This window comes from Homo sapiens, chromosome 18 (assembly GCF_000001405.40).
Source record: "Homo sapiens chromosome 18, GRCh38.p14 Primary Assembly".
In the NCBI taxonomy this organism is placed as follows: Eukaryota; Metazoa; Chordata; class Mammalia; order Primates; family Hominidae; genus Homo; species Homo sapiens.
Window position 1 is genome coordinate 60,250,204 of NC_000018.10, and position 9,594 is coordinate 60,259,797.

Sequence of the window (9,594 nt, forward strand, 5' to 3'; positions counted from 1 at the left end):
AAAATATTCCTCTAGCTCAGTGTATCTGTACAGATAATGTCGACTGTACCCAGAAAATCAAGAACTCTTTGACATTGAGATTTGAGAGCTCCTGGGGATATCTTCCAGTTCTTATTTTACTTATTGGTTGGTGTCTTGGCATCATGGTCATTTTGATGATTTTTTTTTTTCCAAAATGGGTCCTAATAAAGGAAAGATACATGTGAAAGAAGTGACACATTAAACTTCTATTAATCATACAAATTTTAGTATGAACTAAAGGGGAAAAATAAATTTTACATGGAGGATTATCAACATACCAAAGTTCTGAGCTCTCCTGGGGTTGGATAAGACCATTGTCTTAACAATCGTCGTCATTCTGTCATATCGTGTCAATGATATCTTAGCATAATGAATATAGGTAGCAGTCTATCTTTTCAACATGCAGTACTCTTGAATACTAAAACTTGTGTAGTTAATTTGCATATAATTTTTCTTCATGTAACAGAATGATGCAACTGTCATGTAAGATGAACCCTATAATTATTAATAATGCTTTTTATAAAAATAGCTCCTCTATCAATTTCCCTCATCAGTTATTCTGGGAGCTGCTACATTTTGGGTTATTCTCTTTCCAATAATCTATAGTCCTGGCTCATTTGGCCTGAAGTGATAGATAGTAATGTGTCAACACTCATAAGTAAGGTTCTAAGAGGAAAAATAAGAAAACCTTTATTTACCTCCTTGATACTTTATAATTTTATAGGTGATATTTCTAGGTTATCAGGTCTGCTAATGTATTTCTCAAGTGGTTTTAAACACACGCTAACTTAATATTTTACTTACTCTTTAAGCTAATATATTAAAAAATTTGTGTGTGTGTGTGTCTTTAGTAGTGAAAAGAGTTGTTTTTTTTTTTAAATGGTCTTCAATATTTTCCATGGTTTGAATGTATCTCTTAAAGCTTGTTTTGGAAACTTAATCCCCAATACTAATGTTAAGATGTGAGAATTTTAACATCACACACCGGGGCCTGTTGTGGGGTGGGGGGAGTGGGGAGGGATAGCATTAGGAGATACACCTAATGTAAATGACGAGTTAATGGGTGCAGCACACCAACATGGCACATGTATACATATGTAACAAACCAGCATGTGGTGCACATGTACCCTAGAACTTTAATAAAAAAGTATATTAAAAAAGAGGACAACTCTAAAAAAAATTAAAAATAATTAAAAAAAAGAATTTAAAGAGTTGGTTAGGTCATAAAGGATCTGTCCTCATACATGGATTAAGGTCATTATTGCAGGAGTTTGTTAGAGCAAGAATGGGCTTGTTATAAAACTGAATTGAGCCTTCCCTCTCTTTCTCTCTCTCTCTCTCTCTCTCTCTCTCTCACACACACACACACACACACACTCTCTCTCTCTCTCTCTCTCTCTCTCTCTCTCTCTCTCACCCTTCCACCTCCTGCCATGGGATGATGCATCTAGAAGTCTCTTGACAGATGCTGGCACCTTGATGTTGGACTTCTAGCCTCCAGAACTGCAAGAAATAAATTTCTTTTTAAATCACTCGATCTGTGGTATTCTGTTACAGCAGTGCAAAGTAGACTAAGGTAATGTCCCATGTTCTTTGATTCTTTCAAGATGCCATATAACTTATTAAAGTCAGAATTCCTGGGTTACTTACTTGATCTGCCATTTACTAGCTTTGTGATCATGGGTGAGTTTCTTAACTGCCCTCTGCCTCATTTTACTCATCAATAAAATGGGATAATAATAGTATGTCATAGGTTGTTGTAAAGACTCAATGAACTAATACAGGTAAGGTGCTTATAACAGTACCTGGTAAATATCAAAAGATCAATGAATGCTTTTTATTGAGTATTTTATTGTTATTCTTTGTGGTTATTATATTTCCTCTTAACAAGCTCTTTCACCGAGTTACTATAACGTCCAACCAGATGACCAAAAGAGTGAAAAATATGTAAAAATTGTATTTGATATTATAGAAGTAACAGTATAATACTTGTTTTATTACAATTCTAAATTTTCAACTCGTGTTTTTCTTAGATACGTATCACGTTGTACTATTTCCAGGTCATTGCTCTTTTTATTTTCTGTTTTTTTTTTTTTTTCGTGCCTCCAAATCCACTTAAACTTCTATTAATATATTATTGAGGCTGGCCATGGTGGCTTATACCTGTAATCCTAGCACTCTGGGAGGCTGAGGGGGGCGGATCACTTGAGGTCATGAGTTTGAGACCAGCCTGGTCAACATGGTGAAACCCCGTCTCTACTAAAAATAAAAATAAAAAATATTAGCTAGGTGTGGTGATGCACATCTGTAATCCCAGCTACTCGGGAGGCTGAGGCATGACAATCACTTGAGCTCAGGAGGTGGAGGTTGCAGTGAGCCAAAATTGCGCCACTACACTTCACCCTGGGTGACAGCGTGACTCTGTCTCAAAAAACAGAACATTATTGACACTTAATAGACTTATGTTTTCTTATTTTCATTTATTCATAAGTACAACTCACCTTGAATTATTGTTAGGCATGAGTAAAAACATCACAAAAATATTCTGGCTGAGACAAGCTAAAATTAACTCCAGTAGAAAGAAATAAAATTTAATCTAGTCAAATGGTTATTTGCCATATAAGAGAAAAAAAGTTTGTAGAATTCTAACTTGGGAAGTTTTTAGACATTATTTCTTTGAATTTTTTTTCCCAGTCTCACTCTCTTGCTTCTCTGGTTCTGCAATTCTGGTAAAATAAATGTTAGAAATTTTCTTCAAGTCTCACAGGTCCCTGAGCCTTTTTCATTTGTTTTGCTGTTCCTTTTCTCACTGGTGTTCAGATTGGATAGTTTCTATTGTCCTGCAAACTGACTAAGTATTTCTTCTCTCCTCTCCATTCTACTGTCAAGTCTGTTCAATGAGTTTTAAAATTTGAGTTATTGGATTTTTCAGTTATCCAAATGTTGCATTTGGTTCTTCTTTATATCTTCACTGAGATTATTTTTTTTCACGTGTTCCAAGTATGTTTGTATTTCTCCTTTAAAGCATGTTCATGATGGATGATTGCCTTAAAATTGTTGTCAGATAATTCTAACATCTCTGTCATCTCAGTGTTGACATCTATTTATTACCTTTTGTTCATATTAGGTGTGATTTTCCCATGTCTTAATATAAGTAATTTTAAAATTAAAATTTTGAAATTTGGGGTATTGTGGCATGAACCTTTGAATCTTAAATATTCCATTTTACTTGGCTTCCTTGGACACGGCTCCAGCAGGGGAAGGGATTGGTTATGAACTTGTTACTGACAGTTTGTGGGGAGGTCTAGAGTCCTCACTTAGCCTCCATTGGCATGAGGAGCTAGGAGGTGGGATGGGAGGAGGGTCTCTTCATTACTACTGAACAGGCTCCTCACTAGGCCTCAGCTGATAACACCCTGGCTGGTTGGGGCAGGAATGCCTTAGGGTGGGAATGGACAGAGATTGAGAGGGACTAATCTCATTGGCAATGGGCAATGGTGAAAGTCTTAATTCTTTACCAGGCCTCCTTTTTCACTACTGGGTATTAGAAAGGATGAGGTTACCTCACTACCACTGGGTGGGGTGGAAATCTTGCTTGTATGAGGTGGGGATAGGGTTGCAACTTTTTCTTGGACATTCGGCTGGAGTAAAGCAATTATTATCTAAACATTTTCTTTCTTGTTAGGCTTTCCCTTTCCTGATGTTGGTGTGAGAAAGGCATATATTGAGGCTTTTTTTTTTTTTTTCTGTCTTTGCCCAGTGATGTTTCAGGGTCGCTGACTTTCCCAGCTCTAAATATGGGAAGTATGAAACCAAATGAAAACACAGGAAACCTGCCACTGTGTCGTTGCTTGGGACCCAAATGCCTAGCTGGTTGGCGATCTTCTTTCCACCTTTCAGTGTCGTCTCATGTTTGTTATATATATATAATGTGCAGAGATTTTACTTATACGTAGAGGAATAGGGAAAGTGGAAATCAGCCAACCAACCAAGACTTCTAACTAACATGAAAATACATTTGAATATTTGAGATTTGTGGACATTTCCAGCAAAATTACACCAAATTGCTCAAATAAGTCCAATAAAACTTTTTTCCCTAACCTGTGATATAGATCCACCATGTACCAGAAGTAGAAAAGAAAACAATGCTCCACATTTCTTATACCACAAGGTGACATTTTCATAATGAGAATAATTTTTATTTTATCATCAGATCTTATAAAATCCTATTAGCACTTTACATCCAAGCCGATAAAAAATATCTCTGGAATATTCTATATACCAATGGGGTTGACTCAGTTATAATAGACATGATTTTGCATTTAGGTTACATTTCTTTTTTACCAGAGGAGAAAATAGCAATGTTTGATGAAAACAACCAGATTTGTGGACTTCTCTACACTTCAACCATTAGCCCAAGAATAAGTCAGGACAAATTTTTTATAAAGCAAATCTAACACGTAACATACCAATTAGAATGAAGACATGCCATGACAATTTTCAGCATATTTCATGTTTTCCAATATTTTTATCCTAAGTTCAATTATATGACATATATTCACTATTTATCAATCAACTGTAAGTTCCCCAAAACTGTATTGGATGTTACCTAATACTAGGTAAGAGTTTGTCATCTGTTCTCCTCAGCCTGTAGATTGTCCTTTTAATGTGTCTGTGGCACATTGGGGTTGGGGTACTGTTTGTCGCCATGGATCAGTTTTTAACATTATTGAGCTAAATGATCTGTGTAGAAGCCAATCTCCCATTTGGATGGAGTGTCAATACATGACTGTGTAAAACCAAGGCAGGATGTTTTATATATCTGATCTTGAAGAGTCATCCTAGTGTATCCTTGGGAGAATTTGATTATATGGGTAGTTACAACAATTGCTCATGGCCACAGCTGTTTTGGGCATTTTTGTGAGAATGTTAGAAATTAATCCTGTAGCTAAAATTCAGTGGATCAAACTGAATTGCTGACTGAGTCTCAGAATGTAAAATTAAAAAAAAAAAAAGAAAACCTCCCTAGGTAAATTCCTTGACAGCCCTGTCAATGAGGTGTTGAAAACATTTTAAATTTAGTCCCGTATCTGCTGCATAGACGTGGTCCATGAGCTTTGGTATACATGTTTTCCTGTCTTTCTTTAAAAATAAAAGAAAGCTAGTTCCCTTTGGCTACTATTAACTTCCACTGAAAGGATATAAAATACTAGCCAGTATAGATGTTTTTCAAATGTGCACTGACCAAAATATCAAAGAATAGCAAAACCTCATTTTATGAGACTTTTATTGATACTATATGTCTCCTCAAATGTACAGTTTATATTATGAACAAGAGCCTTTGCCTGATTTTGATTCATTGCAAATTTATACCACAAAAAGGATACAACTGGAAAAATGCATTGAGGAAGTCAGCTGAGAATAATATACCCTTATTTATGTTTTCTCTTTTTATTACTATTCAGTATACTGAAATATACTGCCCATTCTAAGGAGGAGTATGTTGGCAAAATAAGTGGAATAAAAGGAATTTATCTGTTTTATATTTTATAATTGGTAGATTATGTTTGTTTAAAATGATATGAATTCATCAAAACCATTGCTTTTAAACATACATAGCAAATTAGTACTTTTTCCAATGAAAAGAGAGTGCTTTAAAATGTTGCCATTAAAAACAATTAAAAACAAAACCCATATGATCATCTCAGTAGATGCAGAAAAAGCTTTTGATAAAATCCAACATCCTTCATGATAAACACCCTCAACAAAGTATGCATCAAAGGAACATATCTCGATATAATGAGAGCCATCTATGACAAACCCACAGCCAGCATCATGCTGAATGAACAAAAGCTGGAAGCATTCTCCTTAAGAACAGGAAGATAAGGATGCCCACTCATCATTCTCATTCAACACAGTACTGGAAGTCTTAAGAGCAGTTAAGCAAATGAAAGAAAGAAAAGGCATCCAAATAGGAAAAGAAGAAGTCAAATTATATCTTTGTTGACAATATGACTTCATACCTGGAAATCCCAAGAGACTCCACCAAAAGGCTCCTAGAACTAATAAGCAACTTTAGTAAAGTTTCAGGATACAAAATCAATATGCAAAAATGAGTAGAATTTCTATACACTAGTAGAATTCAAGCTGAGAGCCAAATCAAGAATGTAATCCTATTTACAATAGCCACAAAAATATTAATATAAAGTATGTAGCAACACAATCTCTAACCAAGGAGGTGAAATATATCTTTACATGAGGAACTACAAAACACTGCTGAATGTGTTTTTAGATGACACAAACAAATGGAAAAACATTTCATGCTCATGGACTGGAAGAATCAATGTAGTTAAAATGGCCATAGTGCCCAAAGCAATCTACAGATTCAATGCTATCCCTATCAAATTACCAATGCCATTTTTCACAGAATTAGAAAAAACTATTCTAAAAATCACATGGAACCATAAAAGAGCCTTAATGCCGAAGATATCCTAAGCAAAAAGGACAAAGCTGGAGGCATCACATTACCTGACTTCAAACTATATTATAAGGCTACAATAACCAAATCAGGATGATACTGGTGCAAAAACAGACACATAGACCAATGCAAAAGAATACAGAGCCCAAAAATAAAGCTGCATACTTATGACTATCTGATCTTCGACAAAGTCAACAAAAATAAGCAATGAGCAAAGGACTCCCTATTCAATAAATGGTGCTGGGATAACTGGCTAGCCACATGCAGAAGGATGAAACTGAACCCCTACCTTTCACCATATATAAAAATTAAGGTGGATTAAAGATTTAAATGTAAGATGTCAAACTATAAAAACTTAAAACCTAGAAAATATCTTGTTCATTAAGCCTTAGGCAAAGAATTTATGACTAAGTTCTCAAAAGCAATTGCCACAAAACCCAAAATTGGCAAATGGGACCTGATTAAAGAGCTTCTGCACAGTCAGAGAAACTATTAACAGTGCAAACGGGCAACCTACAGAATGGGAGATAATATTAGCAAACTATGCATCCAACAAAGGTTTGATATTTAGAATCTATAAGAAAGTCAAATCAACTAGCAAAAACAACCCCATTGAAAGGTGGGCAAAAGACATGAATAAACACTTCTCAGAAGAAGACATGCAGTGGCCAAGAAACATGAAAAAATGCCCATCATCACTAATCATCTGAGAAATGCAAATTAAAATCACGAGATACTATCTCACACCAATTAAAATGGCTATTACTAAAAAGTCAAAAAATAACATGTTGGTGAAGCTGTGGAGAAAAGTGAAGGTTTATCCACTCTTGGTGAGAATGCAAATTAGTTCAGCCACTGTGGAAAGCAGTTTAGAGATTTCACAAAGAGCTTGAAAGAGGACTACCATTTGACCAAGCAATTCAACTACTGGGTGTATACCTAAAGGAAAATAAATGATTACAAAGAAGACGTGCACTTGTATGGTCATTGCAGCTCTATTCACAATAGCAAAGATATGGAATCAACCTAGGTGCCAGTCAATGTTGGACTGAATAAAGAAAATGTGGTACACTGTTGAATACTATGCAGTCATAAAAAGAATGAATTAATGTCCTTTGAAGTCACATGGATACAACTGGAGGTCATTATCCCAAATGAATTAATGCAGGAACAGAAAAGCAAGTACTGCATTGTTCTCACCAATAAGTAGGAGCTAAACATAGGATAATGGACATTAAAATGGAAACAATAGACACCAGGGACTACTAGACAGTGGAGGGAAGGAGGAGGGCATGGGCTAAAAAAGTATGTATTGGGTACTATGCTCACTACTTGGGTGATGAGATTATTCACACCCCAAATCTCAGTGTCTTGCACATCTACCCCCTGAATCTAAAATATAAGTTGAAGTTATAACAAAATACATCAAATATGTTCTACCACAATAAAGATGTTTGATTACAAGAATATTTGAAACATTTCTGGTTTCTAATTGTTTTTGTAATAAATGTGCATTAAAACAAACATCCTCTGCTATAGCAAATCTTTAGGTTTTGAACGTAGGTTGCTACGTCACTTGAAACAAAGTCTTTTTAATTTTTAATACTTAAAAATCATGTTGTAGTTTATGAGGAGCTGGAGAACTATCACAATGGGGAAGCAAACCACAAAGTCAGTTTCCTACTTTTAAGTTGTGTTATAGAGAAAGTTGTTCAATTTTCTACAGAACGAAATTGATTGACCTTTTGTGATGAATTAGACACTAACTGGGCCATTGACGGTGGATAGAACACCCACTAGAATGCCTTTTCTTAAGATTTGCAAACACTTGCTTTTTCATTTTGGGCCAATGATGGTTTCCATTGTGGATGAGGATTCAGGTCTTCTGTAAACATGAGATCTTAACATTGCTTACTGTGTTAGTCAGGAACACATTATCTTATGATTTTTTTTTTGCAGGAGCTATCTCTAACACTCAAAAATTCAAGGTCCAGTCTATAAAAAATGTTATAGAGTTTGTTATCTTTAAGAGTATATCTTGAGCCATCATTTAAAGAGTTATATAATTGTCTACTTGGATGTACCAAATCTCTGACCTTTTCAAGTTATCTGTCTTCTAAGATTATGATCATGTATCTTTAACCTCCCTCATTATTTTTGTCAGAGAACTCTGGTTTTTGCCATTATATGATTGTTGTATACTTTTTCTTATCCTAACTATACTGTTTCTGGATTTTATAAGTTTTTCTCTGTAAATAATGATGATTTTTGTGTTAAATGCAACAAATAACTTGATAATATACTTCAAATTTTGCATTAATCTTCACTTGTCTTCTTCAGCTTAAATAATTTTCTAAACGCTTATTACATGCTAGAGCAGAAGTAGGAATTAAAAGAGATAAACAAGAGTTGATACCTCCGTATTCATGGTGTGAGGACAGGGACAAAGGAGCAAGTCAGATAAATAACTTGAACATGATTTAAGGAAAGCAGTAAGAAGAGAACTAAACAGAGTACCACAGGAAGTCAAAAGAGGAAATGATTCATTCTGTCTGCAGGGACTGGAAAAAGTTTTACAGAGATAATGCATTTAAACCAACTCTTCCCAACAGTGATCAAATGGAGAGGATCGGACATCTTAAGAAAATGGAATAACAAATAGCAAATCTGAGTAGATCGAAAGCAAATGCATTGATTTTGGGACAATGACAAATCATATAATGTAATTAAATTATGGGTGAGAGGGTGTGTGTGTGTGTCTGTGTGTGTGTGTGTCATGCTATTGGGAGGCAGGTCATAGCTGTGGATCTCAGGGTGACAGGAAATGTACAGAACAGAGGCTGGTAATCTATTTTTTTCCAATAAAAATACAGCAATTATATAAAATTAAATGGAATCATATGCATAAAGTTTAAATCAAGCTTGTCCAACCTGTGGCCCACGGTCTGCATGTTGCCCAACACAAATGCGTAAACCTTGTTAAAACGTTGTGAAATTTTTTGCAATTTTTTTTTTTTTTTAGCTCATCAGCTATCATTAGTGAAATTTATGTGTGGCCCAAGACAATTCCTTTACTTCCATGTGGCCCAGGGAGG

The 9,594-nt window shown here is 35.1% G+C and overlaps 1 annotated feature.

The window, feature by feature from the left end:
• Positions 8,940–9,140: a silencer, noted in NCBI's record as "peak3174 fragment used in MPRA reporter construct". NCBI's record gives its function as "represses an SCP1 promoter by STARR-seq MPRAs in K562 erythroleukemia cells {active_cell/tissue: K562}" and the evidence as "EXISTENCE:reporter gene assay evidence [ECO:0000049][PMID:32103011]".